Source organism: Homo sapiens, chromosome 5 (genome assembly GCF_000001405.40).
Source record: "Homo sapiens chromosome 5, GRCh38.p14 Primary Assembly".
Classification (NCBI taxonomy): domain Eukaryota; kingdom Metazoa; phylum Chordata; class Mammalia; order Primates; family Hominidae; genus Homo; species Homo sapiens.
The window spans coordinates 3,410,446-3,431,278 of record NC_000005.10 but is presented as its reverse complement, the minus strand read 5'-3'; the positions used below and the strand labels follow the sequence as shown (position 1 = coordinate 3,431,278).

The window sequence follows — 20,833 nt, the reverse complement described above, 5'->3', positions numbered from 1 at the left end:
TGAGGGATTTATTTGAGCTCAAGATCTTAACAATTAGGTGTTTCTTTTTTAAGTGCAAAGAAGAAACAAAGAATTAGAAAACTCAGTGTTCTTCCAAAATCAATCTTGTTCTCCAGATGATGCAATTTTCCTGTGTTATTTCCTTCTGTTTTATCATCATCATCAGTTATGAATTCTTCTATTCAGCAAGAATGATTTTGTGTGTCCCGAATTATGTAGGATGGCCATCAATGTGGAAAAGAAAAGAAAGGAAACAAAACACTCAGGGTGATAACCAGTACACAGCTGAAAGGAGGCAGAAACTCCCTCTTCAGGCCACCACCACCTCGCAGAATAGTCAAGGTCTTGTGAAAAGCATCATTAGCTTCCAATTAAGTCAGTCCCAGGAGGGTAAAATTCCTGAATGTAGGGAAAGTCTCAGTGGGAGGCTGGGATGGGCAAGAGCATTGGGGTTTGAAGGAGCAGTGGGGCTTTTGCTGAGCACCAGCTGTATGCAGCCTGTCTATTAGAAACCTTGCTTTGCGGCTAAGGGCTGGAATGTGCGTTCCTGGAAGCTGGTTAAGTCAGTGGCTGCAGCAGCCACAGCCGTGTCTGTCTGTGAGAGCAGAAGACCCAACTTCAGGGGACAGGGGCTCCAGGACACACACAGAAGATGGCAGAAGGAAGGCACAAGGCAAGGTGAGGTGTCAGGCTGAGGGTGATGCCAGCATGGGCACAGCTGGGGCTGGTGGGCCTTATAGTTGGCTGTGACCTCGGTGATCATCCAGACACGTGTTTCTGCCCTCACAGGAGCAGCGAGGGACCTGGCTGGGGAATGCCAAATGCATCTGTCGGCTGGCAGAGGCATGAAGTGTGCGCTGATTCTTTTCCGGAGAGAGGCAGGCTCCTGAGTGGGAGTGCTGGGTGGCTCATCCCTGGGTTCCTCCAGACTGTGTGTGGTTGAGTGCCTAGCACTCAGCCCCTCCTGCCGGTGCCATCGTCCTTCTGTGGAGAACTGCCTCAGTGCCCTGTCCCACTTCTTCCACCCCTGCTATGCCCATGGCCTGACTTGAGGCCAAGTCTTGAGTCAGAACAAAGCATTCATTTCAGAAGGAGCTGCAGTGCCAGCATCAGCTGCGCCAGTGCCCGCACCCACAGCCCCCTGCTGCCTGGACCTCTGCACCTGCTCCTCAAGCGTCCACTCCCCATCCCCCACACGCACCTGGACGCAGACTCCCTCCAGGAAAAAGACCCTCCAACACAGCATGCTCACTTAGCAAGTCATTATATTAAAGTACATTCAGATATAGCTCACAAATGAGATAGTGTATACAAAAAAACACAGACGTGAAGTTTTATAGCCCTGGGGAAACACTAACTCTTAGAGACACATGCATCAGAATCTAGGCACTGAAGGGTGCCCACAATACCTGGAGAATCTTTTCCCTGCTCAGTAAATAACCCTCAACCTTACCCATTTTCCATTGCTTTTGGGGGACAGGAATTTTTCCTACTAACATGAATTCCAGAGCTTTCTTTTAAGTACTAGTGGTAAAGGGTGTAAGTGGTGCTAAGCCAGTTGTCACTAATGGATACTGTGTATTCAAAGACTGAGATTTTGCCAGCTCTCAACACTGATCACATTTAGACTCTATACCTGGAATCTCATGTCTAGGATGTAGATTTTGAAGACAGCAAATACATGTATTAATGCAGATACATATTTGCATAGCTCTGAAGCTGGCTGGGCATCCATAATTATGCATACTGTCAGGAAAGAAGAACAATAAAGGAGCCAAAAATAAAGAAAGACGGATATGGGGACAGCAGAGTCAAATGAAGAATCTGGTGCGAGAGACTGGCACCATGCCCGACCGGTGGGGTGACCTCAAACCAAGCATGGGAAGTGCCTGATGCAGAGGCTTCCCTTGAATCAAGCAATTAAAAACAGCAGACAGTAAATCTATTTATTTCAAAAAGGTGTGTGGAATTCCAAAGGAACCTGCATTTATAGTGAATGTGTATATGCCTCTTAAACAGCCTAACAGGGAAGAGATGCCTAATGGGTTAATGCAAAGATTAGATGGACAGCAGAAAACATCACAGGCCAGGCTCCCCTCCACAGCAGTGGGACATGGACCCCGCCTTGGCCTCTTTAGGTAAGAGGCTGTGTAATTTCTAGCTTCTTGGAGACCTGGTCATGAGAAGCCCTGCCTATCTGTGTAATATTGTGAAAACGTGGCCAGCAAATCCTGAAGACAAACTCTGACCCTGCATTATCTGCGATTAAATCCTCCAAAATTACAGCAGCATGGCCACCTCTGCATTGATTTCTCAGGCATGTTTAAAATTACATCGCCTGTTAACTTGTTTGTACAAATAGGCAAAGAAAATCCCCCCAAATCAGGTCACGTGGTTGAGGATTTATGAAACATGCAGGCAGGATAAATATTTCCTCTTTAAAAAATTAGGCAACGTATGAATTGCCATTACAACGCAATGAGGCAGTTTAGCTCAATTTAGCAACTAAGGCAATGTTTAGCCAAGCCATCATGCGAGCGCCTTATTAAAATCCCAGTGGCCCTGGTGTGTCTGAGGTGGGAGAAAAAGGTTAAACTGCATATCAACTACTGAAGGGAGCGGAAAGGCTGTGGAGCCCAATTAAACCTTCAGCACGGCTGGCTCATAAACACTTGCTACTTCATTCCCCCCGGAACGCACCACCAGGCGGCTGGAGCGAGGACCTAGCAAGAACCTTTTCATGCAGCTCTGCCGCTGCGCCTGGGGTCTGGCCGAGCCCTCATGGGTGAGAGGCGACGCGCTCCCTCTCTATTAATCATCCTCTCGCTCTCAACACCTGGGACTGGCTCCAACTCCCCCGGTTGCTATATTGACAATATTCCCTGTTGATTTCCTCATTTTCTCAGCCAAGGCTAGACTGACCTCTTTAAAATTCTTTATAAACGTCAGTAATTGCTGCATCCAACTTCAATTCATTACTTTCCCAGGCCTCATGTATTTTGATGATATGAAAGTTGACCGCATTTACATGCAAATTGAAGTTTTATATTAATAAGGGCCGGTGAAAGGAGATCGCATGGTAATGCTCCATTATGACTTTTAAATACATTTGCCCACGTCTCGACTGGCATGAGCATGGTCAGACCACGAGGAAATCATGTTGGTCTGATTGCAATTTTGTTTTCCAATTGAAAGTACAATTTCATCAGGTTTCCCTGTCATTTCTAATAATGACTTAAGTTTGCTTGCTAAATTGGAGAATTTCTCCGGTCTTCGGATGGGCTGGCAAACAGGTGAGGCGACAGCTGCTTCTGCATGAAGTGCTTCATTACAGGCGTGGGCAACCATCCGCCCCAAGAGGCTGCTTTGATGACAGGAGCAAAATTACTGAAGGCGTCACTCCACGCAGTGGAGATTGATGATCTTAAGCACATTAACTTTATCATACAACTTGGAAAGCCCAACGTTTTGTTTGCTCACACACTACAGTTTTTAATACAATAATCAATGGATGCTTAATTTCCCCAACTGCAAGTTTGGTGATTTTCATCACAGCTCGTACATTTGTATTCTGTATTGTCAAAAGGAGCTGACTTTCTTTTTCTTTCTTCAAAGGGAATTTTCTGTATACAGCGAGAGCAGTGTGATGCTTCCGCATCATGAATAAGACTGTAAGATCCAGGGCTCCACCCAAACTAGATCTTCAACAGGGACATTTTTTCAGACTTACCTCCCATTAAATTGAATGTGGATTGTGTCCTACAGTCCACCCAGATTTGTCAAGATGCTAAATGGAAGTAAATGAAAAAATCCTCAAAGGTTAGAATAGTAGGAGAAGCAAAATACAAAGATGTATAGTAGAAAAAACGGAAATGTTGATCAGAAAGGACAGTCATAGAGCTTTTCCTTGACTCAGTTTACACAGTGAGAGTGTACATTGTGTTCACCTCAAAACTTGCTCTCAAAAAAAAAAAAAACTTGCTCTCAGCTCCACTAATTTATGAGTTTTTGAGGGCATCAACATTTGTTTCTTGCATTGTAATGATTTTCTAAGTAAATATTTTCTGGATGATATTCCAGGTAAAAAATTCACCACCAGCCATCATAGGTCTGGTCTCCCTAGCAAAGAGCCTTAACACAAGTCACTTGATTTAGATAATTCAGTAAACTTCTAATCAACAAGTTCTTCATGTATTTCATTTTATCTGCATTGTCTTTATCTCTGAGTAGAGAAGATGCTGGTAGCAAGTTGAATGTGAAAAAGGCCACTGGGTGTACAGTAGGATTCCATTGTCTCTGACCAGTACAAATATTTACCCAGAGAACTAGCAACATTCACACCTCCCATTCTCAACTGTACCCTTTGGCAATCTGAAGATAAGCATGATGCATTTTATGAATGAGTCCAATGACAAGAGGTGCAAGGGCTATCTATGTCAGAACAGAGATAGAAAAGATTGCTTGTCAGTTGACATGTTTCTGGTTTCAAAGTGAGATTAAGCCCAATATGTACACTGTTGTTTATTTACATATGTTTTTTTAAAAATCTTAGTGATTACAAAAATGTTTCATAGAAATGACATAAGCTGTGTCATGGCAAAAACACACGTTCTGGGTAAAGATGGACCCTTACTAGAGCCTCCAGGGACAGGGGGAATGGAGATGCTTTGAAGATTGACGAGAAATGTTTAATGATTGAATACAACTGCGTGTGTGGATTGGAAAAATGTATTTCACTCTTTCAAAGTGCTGGTAAGTCACCAGCAAAGAATCATACTTTGTAGTAAGTCACATAACAGAAAAATCACTTAGAGAAGTAAGGAATGGTTGTTTTATTTGTTTAAATTTGTGCTGGAGATGAGAGGAGAGGCCTGGAAGCACAAAAAGAGAATTTCAGCTTTTGTTTGGTTTATTTCAGGGACTTTAATTCTCCTTGTTGTCATGGTCAGTTACTCAGGAGATGACTTTTCTAAGAAGTAAACAGTAGATACTCATAGAGCAATCACCATCTAAATCTGTTTTCACCTTTTTCTCTCCTCAAAGCCATGTAAAACCAATTTAAAAAAAAATCTTAATCAGAAGCCCGATATATATAAACACAGAAACAGCAGCTCTGATGAAAGCTGGGGTGTGGGGTGAGTCACCCCCCATTCCCTGCTCCTTAACAAATAGCCCCTGGCAGGAGCGGGACAGAGGAGATCCCAGGTGGAGACCCAATTCGGGCTGAACACTGAGGGGGAGAACAACATTGGGGATGGGGGCAGGGCATCCTTCTCCTCTGTGTGTGGGGGATGGCAACAGAAGGTTCTTTGCTGGCATCAAAATTGCGTGTTGTGTGGCCAGGTGCAGTGGCTCACGCCTGTCATCTCAGCACTTTCAGAGGCCAAGGCAGGAGGATTACTTGGGTCCAGGAGTTTGAGACCAGACTGGGTGATGTAGGGAGACATCATGTCCTCAAAAAAATAAATAAATAATTAGCCGGGTATGGTGTTGCCTACCTGTGGTCCCAGATACTCAGGAAGCTGAGGCAGGAGGATCATTTGAGCCCAGGAGTTTGAGGCTGCGGTGAGCCATGATTGTGACACTGCACTCCAGCCTGGGTGACAGAGTGAGACCCTGTCTCCCCACCCCCCAATGGAAATTCTATGTGCTTTCTTCTACATAGGGTAGAATTCAAAGGGGACTCAAAACAGAAACATCCACATGGTAGAAATATGTTGGCCATATTTTTTTTTTCTTATTTCTTTTACCATTAATTCTGTACCCATCCACACACACACACACATACACACACACACAATCTAAGGCATTTCATGGGCTAAAGTGTGACAGGAAAACATTCTATGAGAACAGTGTCAACTAATCCTCCCAATAACTTATGCTTTCCTAGATTATTGAGGGAATTTAATAGATGGAAGTTCTTCTGGACAGTAACCCTCGTTGACCAGATATGTTATTTAGTAATAAAACTCATAACCCACTGTGCATCATGCCTAAACTTTCAAGGGTTTCCATGTCCGTTATCTCATTTTACTTTTATAGCACCTCTGTGAAATGTGTAGTATTGCTGTAATTAGCCTCTTCTTTTTCTTTTTTTTTTCTGAGGCAATTAAGGACAGCAACAGGCACAGGCAGCTACAGAACTGAAGCCAGGCCTCTGGTTTATTGCTGTCTTTATTCCCTTGCAAAGTTAACAGCTGCAAGACAGGAGTTGTTTTATTTTTGGCTCTACTATCAAGATAATTGTGTCTCTCCCCATTTGACTTTCTATTTTATAGGCCATAAGAGAAAGCCAAACTTGTTTTTTTTTGGGGGGGTGTTAATTTGTCCCAATTGCCCACTGATGTTGATCATGGACATTGGAAAGGCTGGTTAACTCTTTAAACCTTTACCTGTGTGGAAGCAGCAACTGGTTGGAATATTTTGTTTGAGTCAGGTAATTCAACTTATGCAAAATAATTCAATTCGATGAAAAAATAAAATAAAATATTCTAACCACTTGGTAGAAAACAACTGAAATGATTGTTCCCTGTAAGATTCCACAGGACAGTGACTTATCACTGCCTACACTGTACACATCCCTGCATACATCTTTTGGATGTAAACCTGGAAGAACCAATGCTTAATTACATGGCTCTGTCATTGTCTGTCTGTCTGTCTGTCTGTCTGTCTATCTATCTATCTATCTATCTATCTATCTATCTATCTATCATCATCATCTTTTCAGAGATAGGATCTCACTCAGTCGCCCAGGCTGGAGTCCAGTTGTGCCATCATAGCTCACTGCAGCCTCAAACTTCTGGGCTCAAGTGACCCTCCTGCCTCAGCCTCTCAAATAGCTGGTATTATAAGCACACACCACTATGCACAGTCCCCCAACGTACCTGGCTAATTCTCTGTTGTTGTTTTGAGGAACTACCATTCCATTTTTCACAGTGGCTTGCCATGTCACCTTCCTGCCACCAGTACACAAGAGCTCCAATTTCTAAACGTCCTCATCAACTTTCTTTGTCTTGAATAATAGCCATCCAAATGGAGGTGAAGTGGTATTTTATTGTTCTTCGGTTGCATTTCCCTAATGATTAGTGATGCTGAGCACCATTTCATGTATTTCTTGGCCGTTTGTCTGTCTTCTCTGGAGAAATGTCTATTCAAGTCTTTTGCCCATTTTTTTAAAATCGTGTTGTTTGTTTTTGTTATTGAGTTGTAGATATTTTTATATATTCTAGACTGTTATTTCTTTATTACTATATAATTTACAAATGTTTTCTCCCTTTCTGTGGGTGGCCTTTTTCCTCTGTTGTTTATGTCCTTCATTGAATAAATTTTTAAATTTTAATAATGGAGGGCCTAAAGCCCAATTTATCTATTTTTTTGTTTTATTACTCATGTTTCTGGTGTCACGTGCAAGATATCTTTGCCAAATCTAATGCTGTGAAGCTTTTTCCCTATGTGTTCTCCAGAGTTTTATAGTTTTGCTCTCATGTCTAGGTCTTTGATGCATTATGAGTTAATTTTTATGTATAATGAAAGGTAAGGGTCCAGGTTCCTGAGAGTTTTTCTTGTTTTTTGTGTTTGGCAAGTGGATGTCCAGTTTCCCCAACATCATCTGTTGAAAAGACTGTCCTTTCCCCATTGACTGGTCTTGGCACCCTCGTCAAAAATCATTTGACCTTATATATGAGGGTATATTTCTGGGATCTCTATTCCATTCCCTTGGTCTATATGTCAGTCTATGCCACAGCATACCACACTGTTTTGATTACTGTAGCTTTGTAGTAATTTTTGAAAGCAGGAAGTGTGGGATGTCCACATTTGTTATTTTTTGAGATTGTTTTGGCTGTTCAGGGTCTCTTGAAATTACATATTATTTGTAGGATAATTTATTTTTTTATTTCTGCAAAAAAGGTTGAGATTTTGATAGGGATTGAATGGAATCTGTAGATCACTTTTCCAATGTATTGACTTCTTTAGTTTTCCAATCTCAACAGGGAACATCTCACCATTTATTTGTTTTTCACTTCTTTCTGCAATGTTTTATAGTTTTCAGAGTACAAGTGTTAAGCCTCCTTGGTTAGGTTTATTTCTAAGTATTTTATTCTTTTTAATACTTTTGCAAATAGAATTGTTTTCTTAATTTTCTTTCCAGATTGTCTATTACTAGCATAAAAAACACAGCTGACTTTTGTGTGTTGATTACATATTCTGCAACTTTGCTGGGTTCATTTATTAGTTTTGACAGGTAGGTGCGTGTGTGTGTGTGTTTGTGTGTGATCTTTTAGCTTTTTGACATTTAAAGTCATGTCATCAGGTAAGTACATTCTTCAAATTATGAACAATTATACTTATTTATTGAAAGTAATCTTGAGCCTGTCTGAAAATAAGTGAAAGGGCACTACCAATTCCTCCTAGGTCACCCTGCTTTTAGGTGGGAAGAAATTCACCATCTCAGAGATGCACCCTCCACACTCGTAGTAACTGGCATTATATTCAGACATTTTTAATGGTGTAACTGGTTGATTCTTTTCATTTATGGCTTGTATTCATGTGTTTGTCTTTCTGCCCAGAAGTGACTCTCAGGTGCCTGCCATATATAAATGAATTTTAAGCCATTTAAAATATACTGAATGATTCTTCTTGGCTTTGTTTCCCACAGATACCGGCCAGGGGGCAAATCTTCAGCTTGCAGCACTCACTTTGCAGATCCAGTTGGAATTATTTGTGTTGACGCTCTCTGCTCTCTCCGCTCTCCCCTGGAAATGACGAGGAACTGAGTACAGTGGACAATGGCTTCCGTGTCCCTAGCTCCCCCCGAGCCATGAGCTGCTACATCAAAAGTCTGCAGTGGGCTGCCCTTCCCATAATATTTCAATTTAAGCACCGACTTGCTGCTGCGGAGTCATATCTCATTCATGCTGCAGCCTTTGCAGGAGTCAGGGATCATTATGGAGCAAGCACTGAGAAAAAACAGATTACAGCTTGGCACCGAGCAGCCAGGTAAGGGGACGCATTGGAAGGAGTCGCGTCCCAACGAACAACCAGGAGAAGGGGGGCTCTCGGGAGATGTCAGGGCCAGGGGAGTATAGGAACCCCGGCCACTCCAGATTGTCAGGCTGGAGTCAAGTGCATCCCTGCTGACACCACTGGCTCCCTACCTTGCTCTCAGAAGCCGCCTCTCAGCTTGTCTCTGGTTGGTGCAGTAAGTGCAATTCCCTTGTGCTTTCAGGGCCAAGATGATCCTCTTCTCTTTAGATTTCCCTTTATCCATTCTTATTTTTAGTCTTTTCTACACACACACGATGGGCCTTGCCGCGCATTATGCAGACCGCTCTTCTGCAGGCCCTGCCTTTAAATTGCATTCATTGGTTTAGACAGACCCTCCAGTGAGGAAATAGAAATCATCTTTTGTTTGTTTGTTTTATTTGCTCTCCAGCCTCTGCAATTCACAGCCTAATAATTTCATTTTAAAAGGAACACCTGTCATGAAGCTTTGCTCTATTTACCATTAAAACAGGAAGAAAGAACCTTATTAAATCTCCAGCTAGAACAAGCCTCCTCCTTTTATTCCCCTTCCTTCCTTTCTCTTTCTCTCTTTCTTTTTCTCTTGCTGTCTTCTTTCTTGTCTTTCTGTCTTTCCCCCTCCCTCTGCCCCTGTCATCACGTGCGAAGGATATCGCCAGGATGTGGCTCAGTCGCTTCAGGAAAAGTCCGGAAGTTTGGTCCACAGGGTCTTGTCTTGGTTCCCTTTGGATCACTACAACCTCTTGACATGGGTGCATATGTGGTTATTTGAATGGATGAATTTATAATACATGAATAACCAGTTCGTTTCGGCAAAAATTGTGATTTTAAAGGGAAAAAAACACTTGAGAGCTATTGACTCAAGCAAAGGTTCATATTTACAATATTTGGAAACAAACTTGGCCTGATGCTACGCAGCCTAACTGTGGATCCCGTGTTTCACCTATGCCTAGGTTGCACCCCAGATGCTTCAGGGACATGGTGCCTGCTCTGGAGAATGGGGCAGCTTCCACACTGCCCAGGAGCCAGGGCTTCTGACCCAGGAGCGAAAGTCTGTCTCTTCCATTTCTGGGAGCTGGCAGTATTTGCACGACTTTCTGGGCCTCAGGCATCCCATTGCCCACCAGGAATTACCTTCCTCCAGGATCATGGTGAAGATGACATGAGATGCTAATGCTTGGCCTGCGGTAAGTACGTTGTAAATGTATAAACTGTTATTTTAAATCACATGTGCTGACCCATTTCCTTTAAAGGACCTTTTAAAGGGTCCACTGAAAATCCCATATGATTAATTGTAGCTTTGACTGATGAACTGGCTGGAGGAGTCCAGAAATTGTGCTTCTGCAGTCTAGGGCTCATGTAGTCTGGGCTGCTTGAGGAGCTGGGGTCGCACTATAGGTTCATCCCGTGACCCCGTCACCTGCTTACAGGTGTACACTCCTCACCATCTCCCCATGACCCCACTACCTGCCCACAGGTATACTCTCCCACCATCGCCCCGTGACCCCACCACCTGCCCACAGCTGTATTCTGCCCACCATCCCCCTGTGACCCCATCACCTGCCCTCAGGTGTATTCTCCCCACCATCCCCCCATGACCCCACCACCTGCCCACAGCTGTATTCTGCCCACCATCCCCCTGTGACCCCATCACCTGCCCACAGGTGTGCTCTCCCCATCATCCCCCCGTGACCCAATCACCTGCCCACAGGTGTATTCTCCCCACCATCCCCCCATGACCCCACCACCTGCCCACAGCTGTATTCTGCCCACAATCCCCCTGTGACCCCATCACCTGCCCTCAGGTGTATTCTCCCCACCATCCCCCCATGTCCCCATCACCTGCCCACAGGTGTACACTCCTACCATCCCCCCTTGACCCCATCCCCTGCCCACAGGTGTACTCTCCCTACCATTCCCCTGTGACCCCATCCCCTGCCCGCAGTTGTACTCTCCCCACCAACCCCTGTGACCCCATCCCCTGCCCGCAGGTGTACTCTCCCACCATCTCCCCATGACCCCATCACCTGCCCACAAGTGTACTCTCCCCGCCATCCCCCCGTGAGCCCATCACCTGCCCACAGGTGTAGTCCCCCTTCCATGATCCCACCACCTGGCCATGTCATCCTCCGTTGCCCGTCCTCTTGGCCTCTGAGTGGTCCTGGCTGATGGCTAAAGTTTCCATGCCCCTGGGAGGTCTCAGGTGTCCAGGAGGGAGGGGCTTGCTTCAGTTGCCCTGGTCTCACAAGCTGGCTCTAACTCAATCTTTCACATTTTCATTCTTTCCTTCTCTGAGGAGGTTGGCAGAGAAATTACAGAAACTCATTGGAGATGGTTGGGTTCATGAACTTAATTCTTTCCTAGTGTTCAAATAGGTGTTTGCTTAGCATCTCCCTGTGAACATCTCCCTTCACCTCCTCACTGGACCTCTCCTTCATATGGCTCCCCTCTTCCACCCGCATTCCAGAGAGTGAGAAGACAGCAACAGTGTCCTCTAAGAAGTCAGTCATTTGGGGTTTTGGGGAGAACTTTTAAGAGACGAGTCTGTTTTATGTTTAGAACACACACCAAGAATATTTCAGTTTTAGGACCCTGGAAGACTCTTTACAAAAAGTTTTCTGCCCCCACACCTCCCACCCCTCACCCCCGCTCCTGAGTCTTGTTCCATCTATGCTGTAGAGAAGGGGTTCCTGGGAGCCATCCCATAGGACTTGCCCTTAAACAATGTGTTCGAGTCATTCAGCTGTTCAGAGGAAAGTGCTTGGTGAGTCAGAATCACCAGTGGACACAGTGGACCCACTCTGTCCATGTACACACGGCTCCAGGGCCACACCTGTCTTAGCAGCAGAGGCGGAGGCCAGGATAGCTCTTCAGGTAATTCAGACCAGGACAGATATTCCCATTCCTCATTTGAAACTTGTATTTTTTTCCATGTCCTTAGGTTGCTATTTTTAGTTCTCCACTTTCCTGGAAAGCATGCAGTTGAAGTTCATGACGGTATTCTCTCAACGTGTGACTCAAAGACAGAGGCCGTTTCCCATCCACCGGTTCTCACACTGCCCCATTCTGCAGCTTCACCATCCACGCGCTAAGAAGGCAGGCCCCAAAGTCTCAGCACCCAGCCGCTGGGGTCCTCGCTCTTATGGACAGAAAACTCAAGAATGAATATGTTTCCCCATCTTGTGCCCTTTTGCCTGGAAACTATACAGAGCAGGGGTCCCTGCTGGCATTCCTTCTCTGTACTAGTACGGCTTCGGAAAGTACTGGTTCTCTGAGGAGCGCTCAGTTGCATCTGGAAGGTGCAGTGTGCACAGCGATGCCCCTTGACACCAAGGTGTGAGCATTTGAGCTGTGCTGGAAGGTTCTCCATGGAATAGTGCCCACCCTGGAGGGTCCTGTGCCGCGCACTTGAGGAGGCTGTGGTGGTGAGGAGAGACTCTGGAGCAACCCACACTCCCGATAAGTCAGATAAGAGTGCCTCCTCTAGGTAAGTTTATGTTGCAAATTTAAAGAGAGGAACCAAGAAACAGCAAGGACACTGAGCCAGGACTGAGAGTTTGGGTCTTAGGTGGCTTTGGGTCATTACGCCCTCTCAAGTGGATTGCTCTAAGCCCTGTTTATTTGTTAATGTGAATAGTTGGATGGAATTGCCTTTGTTCTAAAATCTTTTATTCTGCCTAAAGTCTCTGGGTCAGCAAGCACATGCCACATGGCTTCTCTCTCTGCATGGGAATGCACACCTGAGTAGGGAGGCTGGCCAGCCCGTGCTGCCCTGGTGGGGTGAGTGTTAGCTGGCTAGGGTTGCTGGAACAGAGGGGATTCAACCACAGGAATTTATTCTCTCACACCATGGAGGCCCAAAGCCCCAGATCATGGTGCTGTAGGGCCAGGCTCCCTCTGAGGGCACTAGGGAGGACCTGTGCCCATCCTCTCCAGCTCCTGGTGGTTCCTTGGCTCGTGGCAGCACAGCTTGTACCTTCACGTGGCACTCTCCCTTTATGTGTGTGGATGTGTCCAATTTTCCTTTTCTGTTGGGGCCCCAGCCGTAGTGGCTTAGAGGCTCACCTACTCTAACAGGACCTCGTCTGAACTCATGACATCTGCAAGACTGTGTATCCAAATAAGAGCACATTCTGAGATGCTGGGGGTTAGGACTTAAGCACAGAAGATTTGTGGGGAGGTACACAGTTCAATCCATCTGGAAGGTGGATAGCCATGGCAGGGTGGAAAGACGTGTGTGGGTATAGGCCGGAGGTGGCCTCACTGGAGAAACCTGTGCACGGCCCCACAAGGCAGCAGCTGAGCGTGGAAGGGGCTGGAGCTGCCCCGTGGTAGGGAAGGGGCCGTGTGGCCAGCAGCAGCATCTGCCTTTGTCATCACTGGGTGGGACCACGAGGGCAATGCTACTCTTCCCCTCACACCTTCTACAGGCAAGTTGGCCAGGTGTCAATGCAGCCAGGTGACACGGCCGCCTGGAGGGCAGGAGCAGACAGCCCCATGGAGGCTCTAGGAGATAGACAGGGAGGCCGCAGCTGTCCAGGAGCTGAAGTGAGCAGCAGAGGGCGCCGGGGGAGATGCGCCCTAGCACCAGGCTCTGAGTGCCCCAGCGAGCTTCCTTGCCTTGACTTTCCTCACTGGGAACCCGGGCCTGGAGTCCATATGAAGCCTCAGCCCAGGGGAGGGTCTACCTGTCCAGGAGGCTCCCACCATCCAGCTCGCCCTGGATGGTGCCCTCAGAGGTGCCTGGGCATGGGGTCACCTCGGAGAGTCTGGAGGGGCCTCCGGACAGTGCGGCCACGGGCTGTCCTCTGCTTCTCAGTGCCCAAGACAGGGAACCAGAGCACAGCACTGAACACGTTTTAGTGCTCTTTTAGTTCATGTGCTGCTTGCTGAATTTCCCTGAATTCAGAGAAGAGCCTGACGCAGAGGAAGCATCTGAGATCTTCTGTATGTTTTCTCGTCTGTGCAAAGTGTTTTCAACTCTTTCAAAGGTCGGCATTCACTGAATTTCAGCTCCCCTTGGCTTGATCTCTCATACAAAGGTTCTCAAATTCCCTGAAAATATGCAATGATTTTCTCACTCAATAAACGACTTTTCTGTCACCATGAGAGGATTCCCAGCCCTGCCCCGCAAAGCGTATTTCAGTATCACTTCCTTTCAGCGGCGCAGCAATTATGAAGTCATCTGCTGCAGAAAAGTTAGTGTTCTAAACTCTCAGAAAACTTCAAGCCCTCTTCAAAAAAGTATTTTAAATACATTCTAGACACATCCACAGGCATGTCTTTGCCAGGGCTCCCCTAGACGAGCAGCCCTCCTGAAGTGGGGATGGAAGTGGCTCCCACCAGAGTCCTTCAACAGGAACCCTTGGAACAGAGAGGGGGCGAGCAGGGCCATGGCGGGCTTCTCTCCTTCGGGTGGTAGCCTGTACGTTTTGTTGTTGTTGTTTTTGAAAAGGGTTTTTTCTTGTGATCGGTCTCCAATTTCTACTCAGATATCTGAGATATTTGCTGTGGGTCTACCATGAACCAACTCGTTCTAGACAGGTACCCCTGGGGGGCGTTCCTTGTGGGGAGAGGGCCCTCCCCAGAGGGGAATTTTGCACAGGTCTCCTGTGTGCTTGGCAGGGAGGCGCAGCACGGGGGTCACAGGGCAGCTGTTCCTCTGCGGAGGGGATACCCCTGAACTCCCAAGGCCTGTGGATGGCGTGGGGGTGGAAGGGGCAGTGTGGGCAGGAGGAGCGCTTTTTCTGTGCCCGCAGACCCTAAAAGGGTAGAAGATTTATTCGACACATACCTGTTAGCACCTGTTACAGGTAAGGCTCTGTTCTCCTGGAACACAGAGCACACAAAATAAAAACAAACAATCCTGCCCTCCTGGAGCTGCCATCGGTGTGTGGGGGGTGCAGGTCATCAGTAACAGAGTGACCTGACTCCCCTGGGGTCCTTCGTGCAGCAGGACTGGAGAAGGATCACTGCGAGGAGGCACAGCGGATCTGGGTATATAATGGTTGTGCTCATTGTTAACTAGGGTGGTGAGAAACCCCCACGACAAAGGTGACTTTGCACAGAGGCCGGAAGGCAGTGAGCGAGAAACAGTCTGGGGGTATTGAGGGAAGGACCTTCCAGACACAGGGAGGAGCAGGAATGGGAGCCCGAGTTTGGGTTTGGAGCATCTGGGAGAAGCCAGAAGCTAGTGGAGGGGCAGGTGTGGGAGGACAGGTGAGGAAAGGTTGGGGCCTGGGGGCCACACAACCTCCTTCCCTGGGGAAACGGGGTCTATGGAAGGTGCAGGAAGAGCACTAGGCTCTGTGTCCTGTTTCTAGAGGGCCTTGGGTTGAGAACAGGTGACGGAGACAGAGAGAGACATGGGAAACCCTGGCTGGGAGGGGACAACGACAATCAAAGGGGATGGCCCTGGATAGGTCCAAGTAGGAGCAGAGAGTTTTCAGGAAGGGGTCTGTGGCCCCCTCAGGAGGGAATGATGCTCTGCACAGATGTTCACCCTCAGGGGCTTGGAGTAGATCCACTCCATGCAGCAACATTTTGACAGTCTGGGCCAGACTCTTTGGGAACAACACCCCACAATGATGCCATATTGTCTACGTCCAATTGTTTCCTGGCAGAGAAGTCAAAGTCATCATTTTTTAAAGTGGATTTATCGTGCAGTAGAGAACACATTAGTCAATTACAGATGAAAACAGAAAACAAAGGGCAGTATGTAAAATACCGGAATGTTTATTAGACCATGCTCTGGGTTCAACATAGACTATGTGAAAGCATCACTTTGAGTATTTTAAAGCCCTCCTTTTCTTTTCTAAAAAATTTATCTTTATCCACCATCTTCAAGAACATCTATCCCATATATCACCTTTTTTAAAAGGGGGGATTGAATTTCCCAAGCGCAGCCAAGACCACGAATAAGCTGTTGAAATTCTCTGTGTTCTTCATTCGACTCTAAGACCTTGGGTCATTGTCTTTATTATAATAATTACACACAAATCCCTGCACATGAAATGTTTAGACTTCCATTTTTAATTATTCATGAAATGTGCAGAACATGGTCCAATGCACACTTGAGCAAAATTCGCTAATGCCTCTGAACAAATCATAAACACCTCACCAGGGTGCCTGGGATGCAAGGCTCTCCGCTAATAGGTGCTTTACTATAATCTGCTCTTGGTACGTAGGCAGTGAATTCATGGCAGCGGTCCCCAGCACCCAACCACTGTGACTTCGCCACCATCTCACCCCAACAGGAGTTACATTCAGCAGCCTTCACAGGCTGAATGTTAACCCCAATTCTTCTGTGCTGAAGAAATAAGAGTCCAGTGACACCCTTCAGTTTTGGTGCCTGGATAAATCTTTACAAAACTCCAGTTAAGACCTGGCTTTACTGTGAGGCAACCTGACAGAAGCAGGAATTGCCACTGGAGAGATCCTGACTCTTACAGATTGGAATGAAGCCAGCGTGCTCACAATGACAGTCTGAGATTATTGCTTGGATGGTGCTCCATATTGTGTGAGATGTTCACAGAAACTGAAAGGAAAAAATATATGAAGATGCCAAGAAGGACACAGGTATGAGCACGTCACTCATACAAGAGAAAACTGGGAAATGTTCAAACTTATTTGCTAACAAAAGTCATAAAGTGTAGCAGCACTCAGCCACGTGTCTTTGAAAGGTATTTTTCGAGCATTGATTTTTGTCATGTGCGTTTGCAGATTCAGAAAATACAGCAATGAAAGAAGCAGGCTAGTCCCTGTTTTCATGGGGGTTACATCCTAGTGGGAAGATATAGGAAAACGAACAAAGAAATACACAGCATGTCAGGTAACATGGTCAGATGGGCTTGGAGCTGACATCTGAAGCCGTGTGGGCGTGGTCTACCCTGAATCTGCAGAGGGAGCACTCCAGGTAGAGTCAGGGACAAGTGTTCCATCAGGGTGTTCTACAAGTTCAAGGACCAGAAGGAGACAGTGTTGTGGGAGCAGAAGGAGAACCTGGGACAAAACCAGATGATGAGGCCGGACGGGAGGTGGGCCTGGTCCCCATGCTAAGTGGGATGGGAAGTCCTGCCAATGAAGTCACACAGTGTCAGGTATTTGGGATTTGCCTTGTTTCACACAAAATTATGTCTATGAGCTCCATCCAGGTTGTTGCACTTAATAGCGGGTCATTCATTTTTATTGCTATCTTGCTCCATTGTGTGACACCATCACAGTTGATCAATTCTACTGTTTGATTTACATTTGGGTGGTTTTCAGTTTTGCCTACTATGAATAATACTGCAATGAACATTCCTTCGTTTGTCTTATGTTGCACATACATTTTCACTAGTTTGCATTTGAGATCTAGGAGTGGACTCTCATTATCACTGGGCATTTGTGATAGTCACTCCTATGAGCAGCATGGCGTGCACTTTTCCGTGGTTCATATCCTCAACTACTTTTGGTATTGTCAACCTTTTCAAATTTGGCCATTCCGATGGGCATGGGGTTTACCGATGATGGTTTTATTTCTCAATTTTCAGATGACAAATAAGATGAAGTGTCTTTTTAAATGCATTATGAGCCCTGTTACTATCCTCTTTTGTCCAGGATCTTTTAAAGTCTCTTGATGTGTTTGCTATTTAATTAGTTCTTTTTTAATCTGTAGAGATGTTGTGGATTCAAGCCCTTTGGCAGATATTTTTGTTGCAAATATCCTTTCTCTGTGTGTGTGTGTGTGTGTTTCTGGCTTGCTTTCTATTTCTAAACAGTTTCTTGTGATAAATAGAAATATTTAACTTCAGTGTAGTGCAATTTATCAGTCTCTTCTTTTACAGATTGTGTGTGTGTGTGTGTGTGTGTGTATTTCCCTACCTTAAGCTCATAAGTTTTTACTTCTAGATCGACTCTTACGTAATTAATGTTTCACCTTACATTTAATATATAAACTACGTACATTTACATTTATAATATATAAACTACTACACATTAATTTATGAGTATGGTATAAAGTTAGTCAAACTTGCCAAACTACACACACACACACACACACACACACAGACATACACTACACACACACACACAGACATACACTACACACACACACAGACATACACTACACACACACACACACACACACACACACACACAGACATACACAGAGAGAGCTGGGATTTTTATTGGGAATTCAGTAAGTCTATTGATCAATTTGAAAATAAATAACATATTTTAGTATTGAGTTCTCAATTGATAAACATATTATGTCTTTCCATTTATTTAGATGTTTTAAAAATGTCCTATCAATAATATTTACAGTTTTCTGTAGGAGAGTTAAATAACTTTTAGCTATATTTCTGGGTCTGTGTTGTATTTGATGCTACTCTAAATGCTATATTCAATTAAAATTCTCTTTTCAATTAGTTTTTGACAGATTTTGACAGGATCACCTTGATTTCTGTCTGATAATAAAGTGTGAGGAGCAAAAAAAAACCCGCTCAAGGGGGCAAGTGTAATAATCCGCACCAGACACGGCAGGTAGTGGAGGATGGTGGTGAGACATAGCTAGAGTCTGACTATATTTGAAGGTATAGGTGACAAAATTCTATGTTGGGTCACATATAGAGTAGAAAAAATAGAAGACTTAATGACAACTTTAACACCTTAAAGCAAACTGAATAATATAGTTATTATTTATTAAGGTGGGGAAGACTGCTGGAGAAGTTTGGAGATAAGTATTGAGAGCTTGCTTGAAGACATTAAGAGTGAGATGTTTCTTAGACATCTAAGTGGAAAGAGTGAGGAGACAGTTGGATTTACAAGACTGTAATTCAGGAGAGAGGTATGGACTGGAGGATTTTGTGAATCATCAGTGCACAGTTAGTATTTTTAAATAACGGGCTGCATAATATTATCTGAAAAGTGAAAGTGAAAGAAACACCCAGTGAGGTAGAAGCAAAACTAAGAGAGATCTTCCAAGAACCCAGTAAAATGTTTGAAGAAAAGCTGTTGATCAAATCTGTCTATTATGAATAGGCCAAGTCATCTGAGTTCAATGAATTGTCCATTTGTTTATGTTATGGGCTGTAGTTTCTGCTTCCAAAATTCATAGGTTGCAATCCTAACCCCTGTACTTAAAAATATGACTGTATTTGGAGATAAGGCCTTTAAAGAGGCAATTAAGTTACAATGAGGACATTGTGGGAGGACCCTAATTCAATATGGCTGGTGTCTGTATAAGAAGAGGAGGTCAGAACATAGACACACAGAGGAGAGATGCCCTGAGCAAGTAGACAGCCTGTTATAGGCTAAGGAGAGAGACCTCAGAAGAGACCAACTCTGCTGGTATTTTGATCTTGGACTTCCAGCCTCCAGAAATGTGAGAAAATAAGATTCTGTTGTTTAAAGTCCCCAGTCTGTGGTACTTTGTTCTGACAGCCCTAGCAAGCTAATGCTAACTTGTCAAAGCACATGTGGTTACCAGGCACAATGCTGTGGCAGACATAGCTGGTTAGTGACCCAATATCTACTTCTTCATTTTCTACTAAGTTGGCCTTGTTTGGATGACCATGTACCTGTCTTTAAAAGAAAATTTATTATTGGCCTTTACCCTTTGCATGTAATCAGTCCAGAGAGCATGTTCTGACAAGAGATGTAAGAGGTTCTATGCTAAGGTTTTGGAGGGAGGGCTTGCTCTTTGATGAAGGAGAGATGTAGGAGAGGAGATGTCTTCTCTTCTTTCACTTTCACTCTCTAGAGACGAAGGAGAGAATAAATCCCTAATACTGCCATGCTCCTTGCACCTCTTTTATATGTTCACAGCCACGTAATAAAACTAGAAGTCCACAACTAAAAAAGGGCTTCCTTCTGATCTTTTCAAAATCAAACAACCCATATTTAGTTCAGTTGTTAAAGAAGAGATCACAACGGAATTACAAACATGCACACCAAAATCATGCATAAAAATCGTAGTAAATCAAACTTAGGAGAGAAGGCCAGAGCCAAATTCAACACTCTTCAAAGGAAGATAACAGAAGCCAGAGTCTCTACAATGTATTTTATGTAAACTCCAGCATGTATTTTGTAAAATATCATCAAAGATAAAGCAGTAAGTATCAAAGAATCAAGAGAGAAAACAGATGATTGAAGCAGATCAAAAGTAACTCAGGTTTTGTTATTAGCAGATAAGAACTTCAAAAAAACTATAATTAATGTTAAATAAAGCAGAGGATAATATGGGCAAATGAAGAAGAAAAAGCCTGAGCGAAAAGTAACCCCAAATATTCATTCTAAAATGGAAAGCTATAATATATCAAATGTGTGTGAATGTATAAAGAAAGAGGGAGTAAGTGTGTGTGTGTGTGTGTGTGTGTGTAGAGAAAGAGGGAATAATAAAAGTTAAAGCAGAAAAAAGGATCTTTAGCTTGAAAAAAATTCAGAATACAGTGTCTCAACTGAAGGATAAAAAGAAAAAGAATAGAAACAACAGACTAGAGCGTGGGAGAGATAAGGAGCATTGTGTGAATGAAAAATGATAAAATAGGAGCTTTATTTTGAAAAATTATAATCCAAAACTTTCCAAATAATAAAAGATCTTGACTCACAGATTTAAGAAACTCAGCAAACTCAAAAAAATTGCAATTCATCACATCATTGTCAAACTGTTCAAAACCAAAGATAAAGAGAAAATATTAAAAGAGCTTGGGGTGGGAGGTGGGGCCTGCATTACATTAGGGGAACAACTCTGAAGAGAGAAGACAACGATGTGACTATTTAAAGCTCTGAAATTCTATACACACAGAAAAAGTGTTCTAAAACTAAAGGGAAG

General features: G+C 44.5%; 1 long non-coding RNA gene across 1 annotated transcript in view; it reads left to right on the top strand.

Moving 5' to 3' along the window:
- The window catches only part of LINC01019 (long intergenic non-protein coding RNA 1019), a 118,943-nt gene extending 104,816 nt beyond the window's left edge, over positions 1-14,127 (top strand). Inside the window, exons 3-5 of the long non-coding RNA NR_033898.1 lie at positions 8,657-8,997; positions 9,975-10,208; positions 11,963-14,127. This is a non-coding gene — a long non-coding RNA (long intergenic non-protein coding RNA 1019). The remainder of the gene's footprint in view (positions 1-8,656; positions 8,998-9,974; positions 10,209-11,962) is intronic.
- The last annotated feature ends 6,706 nt before the right edge of the window (positions 14,128-20,833 follow it).